This window comes from Homo sapiens, chromosome 22 (assembly GCF_000001405.40).
Source record: "Homo sapiens chromosome 22, GRCh38.p14 Primary Assembly".
Classification (NCBI taxonomy): domain Eukaryota; kingdom Metazoa; phylum Chordata; class Mammalia; order Primates; family Hominidae; genus Homo; species Homo sapiens.
The window spans coordinates 37,064,977-37,086,439 of NC_000022.11; the positions used below are offsets into that span (position 1 = coordinate 37,064,977).

At 55.7% G+C, this 21,463-nt stretch overlaps 1 protein-coding gene and 1 long non-coding RNA gene across 10 annotated transcripts in view, besides 3 other annotated features; one reads left to right on the forward strand and one right to left on the reverse strand.

Annotated features, from left to right (window-relative positions):
• The window catches only part of TMPRSS6 (transmembrane serine protease 6), a 45,101-nt gene continuing 24,097 nt past the window's right edge, over nucleotides 460-21,463 (reverse strand). For 5 of the 9 annotated variants that reach the window (XM_047441170.1, NM_001374504.1, XM_047441171.1 and 2 more), the window contains 11 exons: nucleotides 21,307-21,443; nucleotides 19,751-19,863; nucleotides 19,319-19,428; nucleotides 10,159-10,304; nucleotides 9,634-9,732; nucleotides 8,556-8,669; nucleotides 5,940-6,056; nucleotides 5,508-5,676; nucleotides 4,097-4,368; nucleotides 1,850-1,986; nucleotides 460-1,262 (listed from right to left, as the gene is read on the reverse strand). In XM_047441170.1, coding sequence (XP_047297126.1) covers nucleotides 1,104-1,262; nucleotides 1,850-1,986; nucleotides 4,097-4,368; nucleotides 5,508-5,676; nucleotides 5,940-6,056; nucleotides 8,556-8,669; nucleotides 9,634-9,732; nucleotides 10,159-10,304; nucleotides 19,319-19,428; nucleotides 19,751-19,863; nucleotides 21,307-21,443 — 1,573 coding nt within the window. In that variant the 3' untranslated portion in view covers nucleotides 460-1,103. Of the gene's footprint in view, nucleotides 1,263-1,849; nucleotides 1,987-3,639; nucleotides 3,706-4,096; nucleotides 4,369-5,507; nucleotides 5,677-5,939; nucleotides 6,057-8,555; nucleotides 8,670-9,633; nucleotides 9,733-10,158; nucleotides 10,305-19,318; nucleotides 19,429-19,750; nucleotides 19,864-21,306; nucleotides 21,444-21,463 lie in introns of all 9 variants that reach the window. The other 4 variants (XM_024452167.2, XM_011529989.3, NM_001289000.2 and 1 more) reach the window with 1 other exon arrangement.
• LOC124905113 (uncharacterized) lies at nucleotides 12,112-12,828 on the forward strand. Its single transcript, XR_007068092.1, has 2 exons — nucleotides 12,112-12,352; nucleotides 12,565-12,828. It is a non-coding gene; the product is annotated as an uncharacterized LOC124905113 (long non-coding RNA).
• Nucleotides 12,793-13,294: an enhancer, noted in NCBI's record as "H3K4me1 hESC enhancer chr22:37473809-37474310 (GRCh37/hg19 assembly coordinates)". NCBI's record gives its function as "activates a minimal SCP1, AML or CMV promoter by ChIP-STARR-seq in primed H9 embryonic stem cells {active_cell/tissue: H9 hESC(primed)}" and the evidence as "EXISTENCE:reporter gene assay evidence [ECO:0000049][PMID:30033119]".
• Nucleotides 12,882-13,021: a silencer, noted in NCBI's record as "silent region_13679". NCBI's record gives its function as "represses an Ori minimal core promoter by ATAC-STARR-seq in GM12878 lymphoblastoid cells {active_cell/tissue: GM12878}" and the evidence as "EXISTENCE:reporter gene assay evidence [ECO:0000049][PMID:35858748]".
• Nucleotides 15,405-16,385: an enhancer, noted in NCBI's record as "H3K4me1 hESC enhancer chr22:37476421-37477401 (GRCh37/hg19 assembly coordinates)". NCBI's record gives its function as "activates a minimal SCP1, AML or CMV promoter by ChIP-STARR-seq in naive H9 embryonic stem cells {active_cell/tissue: H9 hESC(naive)}" and the evidence as "EXISTENCE:reporter gene assay evidence [ECO:0000049][PMID:30033119]".

Sequence of the window (21,463 nt, forward strand, 5' to 3'; positions counted from 1 at the left end):
GGCCCCAGCATAGTGCTGGCACATGGTTGGAGCCCAAGGCTTTATTCAGTGGCTCAAAGAATGCAAAGGAAGGGAGTGTCGCACTGGACGGGGCCTTGGCAGACAGGGAGCTGGGAGACAGGAGTCTATGCCACCTCCACTCCTAACCCCCAGTGCCACTATGAGGATGTCTTAACCGCCTCTCTGAGCCTCAGTTTCCTCCTAAGGTTCCAAAAGGAGACGATTGCTCCTCACATCCCTCTGACCTGAGGGTCCCCAAATGATTGCCTTCCTGGCATTTCTTCTGGGACCTGGGCAGCTGCCCTGCAGGCCCCAGCCCTCAGTGGCCACGCCCACTGCCACTGAGCCCACCTTGGCCTTCTGGACACTTGTCAAACAGGCTGAGCAGGAAGCAGGGGCTGCTCCAGTCAAGGGCATGAGGCTGGTGCCTGGGTCCCATTCAAACTCCAGCAGCGGGGCTTGGATCAGGCAGCTTTATTCCAAAGGGCAGCTGAGCTCACCTCCCAGTGAGGGTCTGGGCTGTGAGGGCCCAGGTGGCAGGCAGGGGTGGGGCAAGGACCCTGGAGTCAGGACTTCCCCACCTTTTGGCTTACAGTGGCAGCAGGCCCACCTGGCAGTCTCCAGGGCTCTGAGGGTCCCCTCCGATGGGAGCACCTTCCATTCCCAGATCCCAAGTTAGACCAGGGGCTTCCGAAGCTGGAATCTGCTCTCTGGAGGCAAGGCTGCCCAAACAGCCTCTGTACAGAGTGGGGCGCACCTCAGACACTCCTCGGGATGTAGAACCAGCATTCTTGCTGCTGAGCCACTGCCTTGCATTAGGCAGCAGTGGAGGAAGGGGACGGAGGAGAGAGAATTGGGAGGCAGAAGGGCTGGGTGTGGGCCTGGGTCCTCAGGGGACGTCTTGACCCCCAGCTGCTGGCACTTCTCCATCCTCCTGCCATCACTGGAGCAGACATCAGGGACGAGACAAGATGCCACCTCCTGCCACCACAGGGCCTGCTCTCTCCCCCACCCCCCGCCAGAATACTTGTCCCCCTGCTTGGCAGTTGCCCTGGGCTCTCTGAGTCCAGGAGGTGGGCCCTGCTTTGCAGGGGGGCAGTTCCTCAGGTCACCACTTGCTGGATCCAGCTGATCACACCTGTGATGCGGGTGTAGACGCCGAAGTAGTTAGGCCGGCCACAGCCCAGGCCCCAGCTGACCAGCCCCGCCAGGAACCAGCGGCCACTGAGTGCCTTGCACACCAGCGGACCACCTGAGTCACCCTGAAAGGGGGAAAGGAGAAAGGACTGAAGCAGGGTAAGGGCACCCCCTTTTCCAGGTGAAGAGCCATAGGGATTAAGTCCTGACTGTTGGGAATTGACTGGGTGCCAGAGTCACGTTCAGTCTTAAAGCTCTGCTTTCCCCTCGCCTGCTAAATGGAGAGAGCCCAAGCCAGCCCTCCCCGGCCTCCAGCCAGCCTGGGACCTCCTGGAACTGTGGCTGTGTCCCCACGCCCCCACTCTGCCTCCGCCTCCCTTCTGTGGCTGACACCCCTTTCTTCTTCCATGCATCCACCTCACTGTGGGACCCTGGGCCTAGTGCCTTGTGGTGGGCAAGGAGCAGAACTGGGTTTGAGCCTAACACCTGCCCATCACAGCATCTCTTCTGATCTGTGGCTCTGCAACCTTGGGCAAGCTCCTCAACCTTTCTAAGCCCCAGTCTCCTCTTCTGTAAAGTAGGGGTGGCCATCACCACCTTGCTGGGAGGATGGGAGGCTTCAGCAGGCTGATGTGAGCAAAGGGCCAGACCCTGGTGATGTGGGCAGCATCCTTTCTCCCTCCTCTCTCCCTCCCATGCCCGGGGGACTCACCTGACAGGCATCCTTCTTGCCCTTGCGGTAGCCGGCACACAGCATGCGTGGCGTCACCTGGTAGCGATAGACCTCGCTGCACAGGTCCTGTGGGATCAACTGCACATCCACTTTCTGCAGAGCGTTGCTGATGGGGCCTGTCCGTGGTCAAGGGCAGAAGTGAGATCTCAGGAGCCTGGAGCCCCTGTTCTCTATTCTCCCTAACATTATTCCCTTTGCATCTCAGGAGCCTACTTCTCTCCTGCTCTGCCCACCCTTACCCCTGCTAGGGTCGCACCTGCCCCTCTGCCTCCCTGTCACTTTATTCTAGCTCTTTCTCTGTGGGGTTCATGGTGACAGCCCCCGACCAAAGCCCATGTGGAGGGCCGGGCACGGTGGCTCATGCCTGTAATCCCAGCACTTTGGGAGGCTGAGGCGGACGGAACACCTGAGGTCAAGAGTTTGAGACCAGCTTGACCAACATGGAGAAACCCTGTCTGTACTAAAAATACAAAATTAGCTGGGTGTGGTGGCACATGCCTGTAATCCCAGTTACTCAGGAGGCTGAGGCAGGAGAACCGCTTGAACCCGGGAGGAGGGGGATCCGAGCCGAGATCGCGCCATTGCACTCCAGCCTGGGCAACAAGAGCGAAACTCTGTCTCAAAAAAACAAAAAAAAGAAAAAAGAAAAAAGCCCGTGTGGATGAGTGTCTTCCTCCAGCTTCTTGTCCCCCACCTCTGTCTGCTGAGGCACCTCTGGGCTCTGGCTGGCTCCTCGCTGCTCTGTTACAGCACCTGCAGATGTCTCCGAAGCCCACATCTGATCCCTTCATGGTTTCCTTAGAACTCTGCAGTGCCCCAACTCTGCAGTCTGCCCTAGCGCTTCTCCACGAGGGCTGCATATCACAGTCCCCCGGGGAGCCTTGATACGCAGTTTTTCTTGAAACTCCCCGTATGGTTCTAAGGTGCAGGTAGGAGGGAGAACTCCTGGCCTAAGATCCTTATGCTGGCCGGCAAGGCCCTGTCTGCCATTCTGGTTGCTCCTCGCCCAAGGCCCTGTCTGCCATTCTGGTTGCTCCTCGCCCAGGCACGCCTGCCCCCCACCTCAGCCCCTCTGGCAGGCTGCGGATGTTCTCACATCTTCCTGTCTTGGCACCTGTGTCTTCACCTGAATGTCTTTCCCCTTTGTCTGAATGTTGCCAACTCATCTTCCAGGCCTCAGCTTAAACAACCCTCCCCTGGAAGCCTCCCCTGACCCTAGCTGGGCAGGAGCCTCCTCTGTGTCTCCACTGTTCCTGCATCTCCCCATCCATGTCAGCTCTTACCACTGTCTGTCTCCCCCGAGAATGTTCTCTCTTCATCCTTATGTACCCTTCCCCTAACCCCACGCCTGGTACGTACTTGGTGCTCAGAAAGTGTCATTGAGTGACTGAATGAGTGAAGGAATAGTGAATGAACCAGCCTTTGCTTTGCCATGACCACTGCCATCCCCTTGGGTAAGTCACTGTTCCTCTGAGCCTCAGTTTCCCCATCCTTAAAATATCTCTGCGGCCCCGCCTGCTTCCAGATTGTAAGTCACTGTACACATTTTTGAAGCCACCAACACTAACGCTGCAGGGCATGTCTGTAGGTTTGCCAGCTGGGTCTGTGTCCCCAAAACTGTGCGGTGGCCGCCAGGGACTCTGGTCAGTGAACGTAGAAAGGGGAGAGACCCTGTTTCTGAGAGCAGTAGCAGGAAGAGCAGGGGCTCTGGAGGCAGCCAGCCCTGGGTTCTAATCTTTGCTCCAGTCCTCTCTGGCTGTGTGACTTACAGCAACATGTCTCTGAGCCTTGGTTTCTCCATCCATAAAATAGGGCCACAGCATCCGCCCGTAGGGCTGTTGGGTGGATTATATGAAGTCAAGTTCCCCTAAAATCCAGCCTGGATGTGGAAAGTGCTAGTAATTAAGAGCCTTCCACCCTTGCAGCCCAAGGAACAGCAGGTGGAGCTTGCACGTGGGCAGTGGCGTCCCAGACCTGCCCCTTTGCCCCACACATAACGCCCTTCCAGAAGGAAGGGAAGAGCTAGGAGGGGAGGGGCAGGGGCCTACAGGCCGCATTAAATGGTGGTTTTCTACCGTAAAATTCAGCCCAATTTGAATCCCAGCACTAGAGGGCCTATGGGGTGGAGCCCCGGGACCCCCAGCCCCGCCCTTCTCCAGGCCAGGTGTTACGGCGCAGATCCGCACGGTCTCCCTCCGCCTCCCGCCGCAAGTCCCCGCTGCTCACCGCCCTCGCGCAAGGCGCCCCAGCCCGTAATCCAGCAGTGCAGGCCGGGCTCGAAGAAGTGGGAGCGCGCGGGCAGGCAGACGGGGCGCACGGCGGCCGAGCGCACCACCGGGTGGTCGAGCTGCAGCAGCGCCACGTCGTAGTCATGGCTGTCCTCTTCGTGGTACGGGTGCAGGAGCAGGCGGCTCACCTTGAAGGACACCTCTCCAGGCCAGCGCGAGTTCTGCCACACCTTGCCCAGGAACACGGTCCACAGCACCGTGGAGGCCATGCTGGGGTGGGGTGGGGTGGGGTGGGGTGGGGTGAGGTGAGGTGGGAGGAAGCTGCCTCTCCCCATCCAGGGACCCTCAAGATAGCCAGATCCCCGCCCGGGACAGTGCCCTCCACACCCAGCCCTCCCTTCCCTCCCTGAAGGTCGCCTAGCTGGTGGTACAGCGTTCAGCCTTCACCCACTCGGCCTGCCTGGGTTCCACGCCCCAGCTTCATCCCTCCCTAGACATGGGTGTGCCTCTCTAAGCCTCTGCCACCTCATCTGCAAATGGGAATGGCATTTTCTACTCGAATGTTCTTGAGAGAATCCAATAAGACCGTGTATCTAAAAAATGTAGCACAGTGCCAGGCCCCCGACACAGATTTCTTTTTTCCTGTGTGCTTTACAGACCCAGGCTGCTCTGAATTCCCTGAGGCTGGTGGGTCCTAGTGGGGAGCGGGTGGGAGTTGAGCGTGGAGGAATTGGACTGCGGCAGTCAGCTGCCTGGGTGGCAGATGGGCAGCCTTCGGGTCTCTACCCTCTACCTGAGGGCAGTGGGGAGCCTGAGATGGGGTTAAAGAGAGCTAGGTGGTCAGAGCGCCCTGCGTCCCAGAGAGGATACAAAAGGGGATCCCTGTGCAGGGCCTGGGGGCGGGATCTGGAGCCCAGATCTGTCTGGGGGTGGATTGGGGGAGGTTTCAGCCCACCAAGCAGATGGGAAAGATGGCCATGAGGCCTGATGAGATGTCCCCTGGGGGCTCCCCAGCCCCACCTGCTACCTCGTGTCACACCTCGGGGAGTGTCATAGCTTATGACCAGGTTGGGCAGTTCTGTCCTTTACTGAATCCCCAGCATCTAGCACAGCCCTGGCACATAGTAGGAGCACAAGTGTTGCTGAATGAGTGAATGAGATGAATGAATGAATTACTGGCCCAACTTAAAGCAAGATACCAAAAGTAGATGGCAGAGAGGTGGAACAATGTGTCCGGGGACCCAGAAGGTCCTGGTGGAGCCAGGACTAGAACTCACATCACAGTAGCCTGTCTGGGGGGTCCACCACCCTTCCCTCTATCTGCAAAGAGCTCAGACACAGTGCACCTCCCACCGGGCCTTCCCTGCCCTTGTCTCTTACTGCCTAGGCCCCCACACCCTCCCGCTCACCTGTCCTCCTGGAAGCAGTGGGCAGCTGTTATCACCCAGCGGTCAGCGATGAGGGCCCCCCCACAGATGTGTCGACCCCGAACCTGGAGGCTGGCCTGCCATGGCCACTCACCCTCGGAGGACACAGCTCCACCAACAATGCGGCTGGAGGGGCCCTGGAGGCCACAGTCTGGGGATGGGGGCAGGTGGTGGGGTGGACAGAGGAGGAGGGGAAGGGGAGAAGCAGACAGAGAGGAAGGGCAAAGGAAAGAGATGGAGAGACAGAGAACAGGAGAATGATGGAGGGGGAGAGACCATCAGGACCCAGGCAAGGGGGCAGAGGATGAGATAGAGAGAGACCAGGGGACAACAGTGAGATTTCCCTCCAGCTTCCTGCTGTGGGCACCCCCTCCCTCCCAAGCTCCAGGGCCCCGGCAGCCAGGCAGGGCTCACCACAGTGCTCCTCATCCGAGCCGTCCCTGCAGTCGGGCCGCCCATCACACTGCGGGTTGGGCTTCTTCACGCAGCTCCGGTCCTCACACTGGAAGGTGAATGTCCCACATGGCACCCCTGGGACAGAGGGGATGGGGGCAGGGCACAGAAGGTGGGTCTCTGAGCCCCAAGGAAACCTTCCAAAGTGGGGTGCAGGAACGATGGAGCCAGAAGAGCCAGGAGGTGACTAGAGAGTCTTTTCCTGAGTCTCCTTTAGGGTCTCCTAAAAGCAGGCCATGTCCCCCCGCCCCCCACAGCCCCTCCACTCAGACTGGCCTATTGAGCACAAAGTGGTGTCTCCATTCTCAGACTGGAGATCCTGACCACAAGATCATGCCTCCCCCTCCAGTGTGGAACTTGAAGGCAGAACTGTGCCTCCACTTTTAGACCAGGGTCCGCACCTAGCCTGGCAATCTCCCAGGCTCTGGCCCTGCCCGGTTGTCCACATTTTCCTCCCTGCTCTTCACTGTAAAGAACTTTCCACTCCACCACTTGGTCTTTGCCTCTCTCCTTTCCTCCTGCCTATTTAAGTTTTAGCTCTCACCAAGGGCCAAACACCTACCTCCTCCAGGAAGCTTTTCATGTCTGACCTCCTCCCTGCCCTCCAATCTTCCTACAAGGCAGGAGAGTCACCCATCATATCCTCCTACTAACAGATGAGCCTTGGAAGGCAGGGCCTGCATCTCTGCTGTTTTATTCTCACTTCCTTACTGCACCTTGCCTATCGCTGGGTAGCCTGCAAGTGTTGGTCAGTTGGTCAGTTGGATGGGTAGATGGATGGATGGATAAATAGACCCAGACAGAAGACTGAGCAGACAAGCCAATGGGTGGAGTGGTGGTCCATTAGGGAGACTGACAGACAGCTAGAAGGTTGGATAAACGTGTGGATATAAGGACCAGTGGACAGACAGGGGGCTAGGGAGATCAGTGGATGGGTGGATGGATGGGTGGATGGATGGGTAGATGGATGGATGGATGATGGATGGGTGGATGATGGATGGATGATGGATGGATGATGGATGGATGGATGGATGGATGATGGATGGGTGCATGGATGGATGGATGGCTGACGGATGAATGGATGGATGGTGGATGGATGGATGATGGATGGTTGGATGGATGATGGATGGATGGATGATGGACAGATGATGGATGGACGGATGATGGATGGATGATGGATGGATGGATGATGGGTGAATGGATGGATGATGGATGAACGGATGATGGATGGATGGATGATGGATGAATGGATGGATGGATGATGGATGGATGGATGGATGATGGATGGATGGATGATGGATGGATGGATGATGGATGGTTGCATGGATGGATGGATGATGGATGGATGGATGATGGATGGATGGATGATGGATGAATGGATGGATGATGGATGGATGGATGGATGATGGATGGGTGCATGGATGGATGGATGATGGATCGATGGATGATGGATGGATGGATGATGGATTGATGGATTGATGGATGATGGATGGATGGATGATGGATGGATGGATGGATGGATGGATGGATGATGGATGATGGATGGATAGACGATGGACAGATGGATGATGGATGAATGGATGGATGATGGATGAATGGATGGATGATGGATGGATGGATGGATGATGGATGGATGGATGATGGATGGATGGATGGATGATGGACGATGGATGGATGGATGATGGACGGATGGATGATGGATGGATGGATGATGGATGGATGGATGATGGATGGATGGGTGATGGACGGATGGATGATGGATGGATGATGGATGGATGGATGATGGACGGATGGATGGATGGATAGATGGATGATGGATGGATGGATGATGGACGGATGGATGATGGATGGATGGATGGATGATGGATGGATGGATAGACGGATGATGGATGGATGGATGGATGATGGATGGATGATGCATGGATGATGGATGGATGAATGGATGGATGGATAGATGGATGATGTATGGATGGATGATGGACAGATGGATGATCGATGGGTGGATGACGGATGGGTGGAAGGATGATGGATGGATAGATGGATGATGGATGGATGATGGATGGATGGATGGATGATGGACGGATGGACGATGGGTGGATGGATGGATGATGGATGGATGGATGGATGGATAGACGGATGATGGATGGATGGATGATGGACGGATGGATGATGGATGGGTGGATGGGTGGGTGGGTAGATGGGTGGGTGGATGGATGGATGGATGGATGGATGGATGGAACAGTGGCCATATAGACCAGTAGTCAGCCAAACCAATAAATGGGTAGATTGACAGTTTGATGATAGGGAGATTGATGGTTGCACAGGTCAGTAGATGCATAGATAAATGGGTAGCTGTATGAATCAATGGACAGACGGTGATTGGAGACCAGAAGATGGATGGATGGATGGATGGATGGATGGATGGATGGATGGATGGATGAATGGACAGACATACAGATGTAAATACAGAGGGGTTGGTGGGTGTTGAGAGGAGAAGCTAGAAACTTTTGCTGAAGCATGTAGCAGGCCTAGACTGCCTTTGGTGTCCCTCCAGACACTCGGCTAGGCCTGCCCTACCTTCCTGGCACTGCTCTTCGTCGCTGCCGTTGAGACAATCAGGCTGCCCATCACAGACCTTGGGCAGTGAGATGCATGTGCTGTCCTCTTTGCACTGGAATGTGGCTCTGCAAACTGTGTGGGGACACAGAGAGGGGACAGGTGGGAGGAAGCCAGAGGAGCCAGCCGGGGCTTGGCGATGCCTGTAGAAGGTGTGCTGTATTGCACGTTACCAATCACAAATCTCTTTCTCTGCTACTTTATTTTTATGTCTCGCTCTTGTCACGAAGGCTGGAGTGCGATGGCATGATCTCACTGCAACCTCCCAGGTCCAAGCGATTCTCCTGCCTCAGACTCCCGAGTAGCTGAGATTAATTACAGGCTCCTGCTACCACGCCCAGCTAATTATTGTATTTTTAGTAGAGACGGGGTTTCACCATGTTGGCCAGGCTGATCTTGAACTCCTGACCTCAGGTGATCCGCTCGACTCCGCCTCCCAAAGTGCTAGGATTACAGGCATGAGCCACTGCGCCCGGCCTCTTTCTCTGCTATTTTACACCCAAAGTTTCACAGCAACCCTGTGAGATACCCCATTTCACTGGTGGAAACAGATGAGGTGACTTGTCCAAGGTCACTTGGCTGAGCCAGAACTTGAAGCCAGATGTTCAGTTTCTGAATATGAGGTACCTCCCCCAGCACCGTGGCAGGATCATCCCCCCACCATGAACATCTCGCTTCCCTCTTCCCACATATTTAAACCTTTGACAGGGCAGAGGAGGGGGACATCTCCCTCACCCATTCTGTTCCTTCCTGGAAGGCTGGCTGGGACAGGGGCTGGGGGTGATGGCCCTGAGCTGGAAGTCAGGAGACCTGGCTCCCCACTTCTCCCTGCCACTGTCCCACGAGGTGGTCTCGGGGAGGCTGCATTGCTGGTCTGTCTCATTTTGCCACCCCGGCACAGTGAGAGAACCCCACTTCCTGGGTGCTCATAATGGAAGCTGCATGTAGAAGTGGGGTCTCCACTCAGCTCAGAGCAGGAAAGGTGAGGAAGGAGAAGGGATGGGCAGGGAGAGGAGGGATGCGCGGGCGGGTTACTCACCGCAGTTTCTCTCATCCAGGCCGTTGGGGCAGTCCTTGACCCCATCACAGGCAGGGACACAGAGTCCATTCACAGAACAGAGGAACTCTCCAGGGCAGGCTGCAAAACCACAGGGGACCGTGGAGGCAGGCAGGGCGCCATTAGGCCATGCGTAGCCGCGAAGGCGCACAAAGACACGCATGCACCTGTTCACTCACACGCGCATGGACAGGCACCCACAGACGTGGTCCTGGGCACCTGTGTACACAGTCCAAGCAGACATACATATCCAGACACACACACAGAATACACAACACACACGTGGATATGTATGAGTGTGTATTCCTGCAAACCCTTGTGGCTGCCTTGCACACGTGGGCACACAAAGCTGCATAAATTTGTGCAAGCACATACACACACACACACACTCTCTCTCTCCTTTTGTTCAGCCTCATAAGCAGCTGCCCACAGCCCCCTTGGTGGTTCCAGGGATGGCCAAGAGGCAGCGAGTCACTGCAGGGGGTTCCCCCGGCTGCCCATACTCACGGTCCGACTGGTTGTACAAGCCATAGTGCACCCGCACACCGGGCCCGGTGAGGGAGATCTGGGAGGTGAAGTTGATGGTGATCCCGGCCGTGGCCACCACGGGGATCCTCTCGGCGTAGGGCTGCAGGATGCGCAAGCCACACAGCCTGGGGGGAGTCAGAGACGACTCAGGGCTGCACTGGCTGGTCTCCTGGGTCCCGTGCACAGACAGAGCAAGGACAGGCAGCCAGAGGGGCAGGGGGAGCTGCACGCCCGCTGTGCCTCCTCTGCCCTGATTTCTCCCTTAGATGAGTGCACCCCCAGAGTCATCTTCTAGAAACTAGCCTGGCTATGCCACTGCCCTGCTCAAAAATCTTCAATGGCTCCCCATTGCCTGCCAGATAAAAAACTCAATTCTAGTCACAGTCACCTGTGAACTGTGAGGTTCTAGCAAGTCAGGGTCCTTCTTTGAGCCTCACCTTCCTCCCTTATAAAACAAGAAAAATTGGCTGGGCGCAGTGGCTCACACCTATAATCCCAGCACTTTGGGAGGCTGAGGTGGGTGGATCACCTGAAGTCGGGAGTTCGAGACCAGACTGACCAACATGGAGAAACCCCGTTGCTACTAAAAATACAAAATTAGCCAGGCATGGTGGCACATGCTTGTAATCCCAGCTACTCGGGAGGCTGAAGCAGGAGAATCGCTTGAACCCAGGAAGCAGAGGTTGCGGTGAGCCGAGATCGTGCCATTGCACTCCAGCCTGGGCAATAAGAACGAAAGTACGTCAAAAAAAGAAAGAAAGAGACAGAAGGTAGGAAGGAAGGAGGGAGGGAAAGAAGGAAGGAAGGGAGGGAGGGAAAAAGAAAGAAAGAAAGAGAAAGAAAGGAAGAAAGAAAGAAAGAAGAAAGAGAAAGAGAAAGAAAGAAAGGGAGAGAGGGAGGGAAAGAAAAAAGAAAAGAAAAGAAAGAAAGAGAAAGAAAGAAAGGAAAAATTATTTCTGTTGATCTTGAATCTGACAAAAGGCTTCAATGTGTCAGTTGAGGCAAAAGCCCTTGACTGCCCCACTGTCCACAGATGTGCACGGTCATCTGCCTTGAGCTTGGTGTGGGACGAGGGGGCAGCAGTGCTCCCCATTTAGGCACCAACCCTCCTGCCTCCCTGTGACACTGTGGGCTTGAGGGAAGGACCAGTCCTTCTCCCATGACCAGTAGCTTAGTGCTGATGGGCAGCACCTTCTCTGTGCATGGCCACACGGGGTGGGACCACCCCCAGCTGTGGGAGCACCCTCACATCCCTGCTGGACAACACCGCCCCTGCACCCCTGCCATACCACCACCAAGAAGATACCGTTGTTCAAACAGAGCAGGTGGGGGAATCTCCAGAGAGGCTGAGTCTTTCTCTCCTACCAGAGAACAGGTAGGAGCCCTCCCATCTCCAGGGCATGGGCCCAGGGGTTCCTCCTGCAGAGAGTCCGGTGCACCTCACCCCACAGAGCAAGTGGGCAGCGGCATGACTTCACAGAGTGGGTGCAGCCACTCCCCCAGGACAGTGGGACCCTCCCTCCACAGCAGCCGGGGGTTCCTTTTCATCCCAGGTGGGACACCCTTGCAGAACAGATGGGGACAGCTTCATCAGCTCATAGAAATGCCCTCCACAGAGCAAATCAGAGTGCTTTGCAGATGGGGGAAACACACTCAGGGTGCAGGTTGAAAATCTGCAGGGAGAGCTGAAAATGCCCCTGGCAGAGAAAGCAGATGGAAATCCAGAGAGCATCAGGAATGCCCCTGAAGGCCAGTGGGGACATCCCACAGCAAATCCAACACCCTGCGGAGCCGGCCATGATTCCCAAGGGCCAGGCACTTCCCCAGAACTTCTAGAATGTGGTAAGCACTTAACCGTTCAATAAGTTAATCAATTCCTTAGCCACCGAACAGCTGAAGATGAGCTTTGAGGCTGTTTTAACATCTCCAGGTGTGTGGCTGGGGCTGAGCCTCATTGGCTATGGCATCACAAGGCCTCATTGCACGGGGATTCTGAGGTTCAAGCAGCACCTCCACCCAGGGAGGGAGGAATTGCTCTCATCCCATTTTACAGATGAGGCTCAAGAGTGCAGGAGCCAAGGTGGAGCCAGAATCTTGCCTCAGGACCCAGAAGAGCTCACCTAGCTTGCTTGAGGGGAGGGCTCCGAATTCCCACTGCAACAGGAGCTCTGAGGTCTGAGCCCCCTACATGCCCCATGTCCTCCACACGCCTGGCCTAGACTCTGGCACCCCCCTAAGTCTATCTGGCCACAGTGACCACGATCTTACCCTTACACCAACCAGCAGTTCTCAAAGCACAGTCAGGGGACCCCTGGGGGTCCAAAAGTCATGTTTATAGTAACACTCAGATATCATTTGCCTTTTTTGCCCTCATTCTCTCATAAGGTGACAGGCGAGTTTTCCAGAGACTGATGTGTGACATCGGGACTGATTGAACTCGGAGGCAGATTCGAAGGTCCCGCCTGTAGTCTGTGAAGCCAGTTGTTAAAGAAATGTACAAAAATGTAAAATGACAGCACTCTTGTCACTAAATGTTTTTACTTTTGGAGGATGCAACTAATTTTCATAGAATGTTATTTATATTCAAATGTGTAATGGGCTTATAATTATATTAAAAGAATTAATAAACATTTTAAAATTTTGTTTCAATTTCTAATGCTGCAAGTATAGATCTATAACCTGTATAAGCAAAAACTCTTTAGGGTACTCAGTCATTTTGCGGAGAGTGACTGGGTCCTGAGGCAGAACAGGTTGGGAGCCGCCACCCCCGACCATGGTTCCCCCAGCCCAGCAGGGCCGGTGGGGGACGAGGCACCGCCAGGGGGCGCCCCTGAGCAAGCCTGGCCCTCTTGCTCTTGTAAAACCCAGGAAACGCAGGTTTTGGTGTCTGTTTGTCTATAAAGTTATCATGGATTGTTTTCCTCACAGAAGGACCTCAGGAAGTAGACAGGGGAGCCAGGGGTTGGGAAGGACTAGTGCGGGGAATGAGGAGTCAAGCGCATCCCATGGGCCTTGGGGTGTCCCTTCCCACAGTCACAGGGAGATTGTGGGGAGACAGAGAAGGAACCCAAGCCGGGGTTGGAGGGGAGTGGAACGTTTCACCCTAGAAGCAACTGCGTTGAGGACCTGTAGTGTCACCCAAGCCTTGGGCAGGGGCTGTAAGGCAAAGACACCTGTGCCTGCTACAGGAAGTTCTCTCAACCTCCAGGGAGAGTCCTAGAACCAGTCTGTAGCTGGCAGCAACCTTTCCCCAGGGCCTCACCGTGTACCCGGGAACCTGTCTGTCTGGGCAGTGTTTGGTTCTCACTCTGGAGGCCTGGAGCACGGGTAGAGGTGGTGGAATCCCTGGAACAAGCGTCTGCTTAGAAAGCGCCAGAGAGGAATTCAAGGCAGCGGCTGAAATCTAGTGGCCCAAGCGGAGTCACTCAGCGTAAAGACAATCTGTTTATGCACCATGTAGAAATTGCTTCATTGAGTCGCGAGCTAATTTCACATAATAATCCAGATTCCTGCTCCTTTAGAAGGAGAAGAGGAAGAGGAAGAGGAAGAGGAAGGAGGAGGCGGAGGAGAAGAAGAAGAAAAGATGAAGAGGAAGAAAGGAGAAAGAGAATGAGGAGAAGGAGGAGGAGAAGAAGAAGGAGGAGGAGGAAGAGGAGAAGGAGAAGAAGAAGAAAGAGGAGGAGGAGAAGGAAGAGAAGGAGAAGAAGGAGAAGAGGAAGGGAGAAGAAGGGAAAAGGAGAATAAGGAAGAAGAAAGAAGAAAGAGAAAGAAGAGGAAGAAGGAGAAGGAGAAGGAGAAAAAGAGAAAGAAAGAAAGAAAAAGAAAGAAAGAAAGAAAGAAAGAAAGAAAGAAAGAAAGAAAGAGAAAGAGAGAAAGAAAGAAAAGCCCCGAAAACACCACTGGACTACCCTACCCCCCATCATAGACTCTAGCCCTGGCCTGGCCCCTTGGCCCATCTGAGTTTTCTGTTTCTGCTGCAGAACTCTCTGGGGGAGGGTGCACATTCTCTGGCTCTCCAGTGCCTCCCGTCCAACAAGTGCTCCCCTCTAGCCCTCTCCAAGAAGCACCAGAAGCCTGACTGCTGCGATGCCTGCCAGTTCATCTTGGCTACAAAGTACTGAGTGTCTGAAGGCACATTTTTGCACCGTGTGGCCTGCCTTGCTTCCTCACCTCTCTGGATATGGGGAATATTTCCTTCTTGCCTCATCCAGGAGGTAGACAGGGACCCTGTCAGGATGTACTGCCTGGAGGGATAGATGCATGGATGGATGGATGGATGGATGGAAGGGTGGGGAGAACACAAGAAGGAAGAAGGAAAGAAGGGTGCGTGGGTGGATGAATGCACACCCCCGTGCCCTTACCTACAGACAGATTAAAGGGGAAGGAGGGTCACAGAAGGCAAGTGCTGAAGAGGGGAGGAGAGCAGCACCTGGCATTGCCAGAGCTCTAGACCTGGGGCTGCAGAGCTGAATTGGCAGCCTGGCTTTGCCCCAGGAACAAGCTGTGTGACCTTGGGTCACCCTCAGCAAGCTTTAGTTTTCACATTTGTAAAACAGGGGTGATCGTATCTCCCTTGTGGCATGGTTTAAGGCATGCATAGGAAATGACTTCTTTGAAGCACTTGCTGACGTCAGGCTGTGAGCTCATGGAGGAAGCAGCTTGCACTCTCCTGCACGGCCAGCCCAGCTCAGGTCAGCCACACTGAAGTTCCTACTAAGTGTCTGTGGCTGCCGCCTGTGCTGGCCACTAGCGCTCCGGAGAACACAAGGGCCACCCCATAGCCAGGCCAGGCCGGGTCGGGGGTGGCTCCAGCTGGCCTAGGGAACCCATGGTTCTGCCTGTCCCCACTGGCTGGGAGTGAGTGGAAATGGTGGGGCGAATCACAAGAGAAGTGATGTCACAGGAGAGGAAGCTGGCAGGAGGCAGGTTCCCGGAAAGGGGGAAGCCCGTGCTTCGGTGGCAGCCCGTGAGAGTGGCTTCTGCGAAATGGAGCAGCCATGGCCAGATCTCACGGGCCAAGTCCCTCTACCACCCCCAGGCCACTCAAGGGCCTGAGGCCTCAGCTGGGCTCAAGTGGGCACCGGGAGAAGCTAGGTAGAAAGCAGGCAGGTCAGGGGTGAAGGAGGCACCACAGTCTCAGAGGAGTCAGGTGAAGTGCCTAAGGATGCTTAGTCCATGGGGGGCCCACCAGGCCAGCCTTTCCTCATCACTACGCTGGCACTTGAGGGTTAAGATACCCTCTCCCCTGACCCGCCCTCTCCATCAATGGGCATTCTGGGCCAAAGGGCTGTACCTCCCCCTCCCTAAAGTGCCTTGTCTGAAAATCTGCTCTTCCCTAGACCTCTCATGTCTTTGCCACCCACACAAGCAGATTTCCAACAAATGCTCATTCTAAGAATTTCTCAGCATCTACATGGGATGATCACTATCGCCCATGATCATAACTAGAGGGCACAGTGGCCCAGTGCGGATGGTTTGCAGGCGCCACCTCTGCCTTCCCTTCCACATTCATTCACACAGGAGGAGTCTGCGGGGAGGGGACAAGAGTCTGCCCCTGGGGACCCTGGACCCTTAATGAAAGTCTGAGAAGAAAGGGCTGGGACTTCCCAGGCCGCTCTGGAACTGGTGGGACAGCCACAGAAACTGTCGATCCCCCCACCCAGATGCCAGTGGGTTGGCTGGGGATGCCTTGGCTGAGGGAGTCACCAGCTGGCATGGGCCGCTAGAGGCTCAGAGGGAAGAATCGCACACGTGGACCACACACACATGCACGTACACGTGCACAGACATGCATGGATGTACGCACGCACACAGACATGCATCTGTGCACCCACGTGCACTCCAGATCAGGCTGCCTGGCCTTAACTCTGGCTCAAAGAGCTGGGTGACTTTGTGCAAATTACTTCATCTCTCTGTGTCTTGGGTGTCTCACTGGTCTGTGAAGGCAGTACAGGCACCTGCTTCCTCGCTGGGTTGTTGAGGCTGAAAGAGCCAGCACCATAAACCCCTCAGCTTGTGCCTGCCCAGAGCAGAGTGAGAGCCGGTGATGAACGCAGGTTTGTTGCACTTGACCTAAGCCCGCGTGTGCAATGTTCTCCACGCGTTGTCTCACTTAGTCTTCCCAGGGTGGGGGTCTCTTTCACGCCCTTTTTTCAGATGAGTTACCTGAGGTTGGGAGATGTAAGTCCTCGCCCAGGTAGGAAGCAGAGGAGACAGGTGCTGAGCCCTGGCCTGTCTGGCTTCGACACTTAAGCGCTTTCCACCTCACCAGCCTGACTTGGAATGGCGTTTGGCCAGGAATTAATAAACACAACTTGTATGGGAGACAATAGCTTCCTGATGGGTAAGCAATCAAAGATTGGGGCCCTGGGCTGGCCTGAACCCCTCGTTTCACAGACAAGGAAGGGGGTGCATCTAGGGATCCATGCAAACCCTGATGCCAGCCCCTGCTGAGCACTTCCACCCCCGTGTGGCGAGGGAGGACTGAACAGAGAGAGGGGGAGCTATGGGGGCACAGGGAGCTGTCAGGCCTCATCCTCACCACCCAGCCACCGCTTGGCTACACCCTGAAGCCCATCTCCACCACTGAAAGGCAGAAAAGACAGGGACAAGAGGCCAAGTCCTTAGCCCTCGCTGGTCCCAGTTTCCCCACCTGTACCATAGGTTGGGTGCTAGGACCAGTTCAGCCCACACATTCTATAGCTCAGTGGTGCTCAGACTCTGGCGAGATCCCTCCACCCTGTTGGAAGCTGTCCTAGTGCCTCAAATTCACCATCAAGGCATCATTCCTTTGGATTAGGGAAAAGACTCTCCCATCCGTGTTCCACACTCTCTCTGTCATTACCCAAGGGTAGCTCACGAAGTCCCTGTCTCCCCAGTACCCAGACCCTTGCCCAACTGCATCAGGGAGGGAGGAGGGCCTTCCCACAGGAAGCATGGGGTGGAGCATCCTTTGGCCTGCTGTTTGTGGCTGTTGGGGGTATGGGAGAGACCCCATCTGTGGACCCATCTGCGTGCCACCTAATCCTGCTGAGCCTTGATTTCCTTCTCTGGGAAACAGGAACGGCGCCAATGACCACACAAGTTGTTGGGCCAATGCACTGAACGCCTGTCTTAGCACCTAACTCCAGGCCACCGAACCCCCCACAACCCCTGAATGCTGGGGCCCCGCCTCTGGCAAATGGAGTCGCCAAGGGGGTGAGGGATGAGACAGGGAGTGTCAGACCCAAGACTGTTCCTTCTCCTTTGTGGGCCTCCCTGAGACATAAAGTTCAGCTCTGCGGTAGGGAGGGAGGCAGGAAAACATGTTCTCATCATTCGCAGAACTGTGAATCATGGATCCATCTCAGGGTCACCCTGCGGGTTCCTGTGAGCGGGGGTGAAGCCAGCCATCCCCAGCCTAGGTGAGTAGCAAGGAGGCTTCAAGTGAGCTCCATGAGGGGTCAGGGCAGCCGTTCCCAGAGGTGCCCCCATCATGCTACAGAAGCCTTCTGCTCTCCAGACAGCACAGGCCTGACATCACTGAACCAGCATGTCACCCCAGCAGCACAGGCCTGATGTCACACTCCATCAGCATATCACCACCAAATGCAAAGCCCTGAAGGCACTGCTTCGCCATATCACCCCCAACAGCACAGGCCCAAAGTCACTCCCCATGTTACCCCCAACAGCATAGCCCTAGATCATGCCATGAGTATTTCTTCTCCTTTCTTTTAATCCTAGTCCCAGATAAATTGCAAAAAGGAGTCAAGCAAACCTTGTCATTCTTCGTCACCTTTTGTCTGGATGATCCTTTTGAATAGGATCAGCCAACAAGCAAATTACAAGTGTTGGTGATTGGGAACACACACCCCAGAAATCCAAGAATTCTAGAGCCCCAGAGCCTTCCAATTTTGGCATCTTCCAAGACTGGCATCTTAGATATTCAAACTCTGTGAAATCAAGAAATGACAAATCTTTCATACTAGACTCTGAACCCATTAGGCCCCCAGAATTCCGAGGTTGGAAGGGAGGGCAGAGGCCCAACCTGCGATGAAGGATAGAGTCTCCTCTTTCCTGACGCTGACACGATGACCGTTTTCACCCCGGATTCCCAGGGAAAGGGTCTCCCTGGCTCTGCCATCGCTGCTTCAATATTCCTCTTCTCTCTCCCCAAACCTCTGCTCCCCAACAATGGAGCCATGGGAGGGCCTCCCTCTCCCCTTGCCCACCCTCCCCACTCTAAACAATATTACCTGCACCTGAGCCTCCTTCTCTCCCTCTGGGGATGCTGGGATGATCCACACATTTGAGATATGGAACCTCTCCCGTCTTAAATGTCCCCTTCCTTGAATTTCCTAGTTCTCTTTTCTTCCCAGACAAATGAAAACCTGTCCATACACCCTGTCTCTGTTTCCCTGCCTCCTTGCCCAGCCCAGGCCTCTGAAGCTGTCGGCACCACCCATGGCTTCCTGGTGGCCAGGCCCAGTGGGCACCTACTGGCCTCATGCCATAGTGACCCTGGCAACGGTAGTCGCTTAGCCTAACCCCACTGTCTCTTGCTCACATCTCTGTAAGGACTCACTTCTTTGTCGGAAACTTAGTTACCAGAGGGAGCAAGGGCAAGAGCAGGGAAGAGGGCAAGTGCCCCGTTGGGGATTCGGGGGATCCAGGGCACCCATGATTTCCATGTTACCCTGTGCAATGGGATTGGGCCTGGCTGTGCAGCAGGGGTTCGTGATAAGGGAGAGGCACCTCTGATGGTACGCCTTGGGTTTAGAGGGAAGGCACCAAAGTGCCCATGAGTCCTTTGGCTCTGGAAACATTTTATTGAAGGATTGAGGGTGCCAGAGGGGGTTACAGCACCCAAGAAGATGAGACAATTTTGCTGTAATTAGAATAAACATCCAAGGTGTCTGATGACCAAACGTGTCTGAGACCTCTGGGGTAGCCAGAGGGGAAGCCGGGGCCAGGGCGGAGGCTGGGACGAGGACAAGGTCAAGGGCAACAGGCCTGACACCAGCCCCAGCCTCTGCTCGCTCCCCTTGCTGCCCCTCTGAGATTGGGGACTTGGGCTTCCAATGAGGGGGTCACTATTGAGGAGGGAAGAGAGGGAGGGGGAGGGAGGAAAGGAAGCCAGAGGGAGGAGAGGAAGTGGTACCTCCTGTTCTGGATCGTCCACTGGCCCTGGGTGCACGGCAAATCATACTTCTGCCTCCTCAGTGCATAGGCATCAAACCAGAGGGCCAAGCCGTAGTCCAGAGAGGGCACCTGGGAGGGAGGAGCGGGCCATCAGGTGGCCCATGGGGTGTGGCCAGGTTGGTGAACCCACCTCCCTAACAACAAAGAGAAGGAAACACAGAATCCCAGGTGGGGCTAAAGTCTGTCAGTCACTCAACAAACAGGCATTGCTGTGACCCACAGAGGGAGACCTCGCCCACAGCCCTCTCCACCCTGGCAGGATGTGTACCCAGGGCTCAGCCTGTGGGCGCTTCAGCAGAGGCGGGACACTGCCCCCTCTCATCCCGGGTCACCAGGGACCTGTAGTGTGCTTGCGGCAGAGGGCAGGTGGGCAGGCAGGGTGGGGTCTCACCGTGAGGTGCCAGGAGCAGTGGGTTTGGGGCGAGTAGTAGCTGGGGAAGTACGGGGTGCTGAGGACGCCCTGGGAGTCGAGCCTGTTGTCCAGCGTCAGGTTCACTTCACAGGCTGGACCAGGAGAGCAGCTGTTACACAGGGGTCCCCTGGCTGCACCTCCCAGCAGGCTGGCGCAGCTTGTAACCCCACCACCCCTACCACCTCTGCCAGCAAATTGCTGTGGTTGAATGTGATTGTGTGAATCTGGGTCTCAGTTTCCTCATCTGTAAAATGAGGACAGTAATAGCACACACCTCATAGGGTAGTAGAGTGGATTAAAAAGACATAAACATTCAAACAGCCTGGCATGTAGTAAGTGCTCGATCCGTGTTAGTTATTGATATTTGCGGGACAGCACTCGCCAGTTTACAAAATGCATTCACACCTGCACAGGCCTCACGGTGGTGGCTGGGGGAGAGAGAGCTGTTCCCCTTTTCCAAGATGAGGTTCGGAGAAAAGGAGTGGCTTGGTTGAGGCTACACCGTGAGAGGCTGAGGGGTCCAGGGGTCAGGACAGGAGCATGCTCACCTGCCCTGGCCATCTCTCCATTGGGCCAGGGCCCCCAAAGCCCTTTGTTCCCTCCCGCCTCGAGCCTGTGTCAGACTCCCAAGGGAACAGCTCTGCTACCCATTTAGCGCTCCAGTTTGGCCAGCTGGGGACCCAGGTCTATGCCAGACAGTTTGGGGATAAACCGAGAAGAGGGCTGGGACCCTGAGTGGGAGGGAGAAGAGTGGGGAGAGAGGTGAGGCAGAAGCAGCTGCCAACACTCTATGGCCTCCTCTCTGCCATCCTCCCCTCCTGAGCTCCAGAAATGGCAAAGTTTGGGCCTCCTGCGCAGAAGTATGGCTGGTCCAGGCCCAGGACAGCTGTCCCATGCGGGGTGGGACGTGCCCTTCCTGGGAAGGGGGCAAGGAGGGAGGTCCCGAAGCAGGAGGAGGGTGGGGGCTGGGAAGGCAGTGGGAGACCTGCCACACCAGTGGCCATGGCCTGGCTGTGCTGCCATCACACCTCCCCAAGCTCCCTGCGCCCTCTTGGCTGTAAGCGGACTGTCTAGGGCGGAATCCAAGGAGTTCTTAGTCCTGCTGCAAACAGACCCGTGTTCCAGGCCCAGCCACCGGTGGGTGCCAAGGGGAGAGGGCAGGGAGGGGGTGAGGGGCAGAGGGGAGGGGACACAGGTCCAGGCGAGTGAGGAGGGAGGAGAGGCGGTCAGCACAGAAAAGAGAAAAGGAGAGAGAAGGAAGGACAGAGAAAGAGGAGGGAAGCAAGGGAGCGATGCCAGGAAGACAGAGACTGCGAATGGTAGGACGGTCAAGGGGAAGAGGGGGGTGGAAGTGCAAACGACGGAAGGAAGAGGGGGGCCGGGGTGGGGAGTGGAGAGCAGCAGGAGCTTCCAGAATCTTCCCTCTCCCCATCCCATCCTCAATTTGGGCAAAAAAGGTGAGCAGTGAGCCCAGTGGAGGGCCCTTGGATTCTACCACCACCCCTCCCCTGCCCCAGGGACCCCTGACCTCTCACCCTGGAAGACCACCGGCTGCACGGAGAGCACGAAGGGGTCGTAGTAGCTGTGCAGGCCCTTCTTCCAGACGACCGCCATGATGGCCCCCGACGCCAGAACCTCCACCACGGGCTCCTGGCGGCTGCAGCCGTACACCCTGGCAGAACAGAAAGGTGG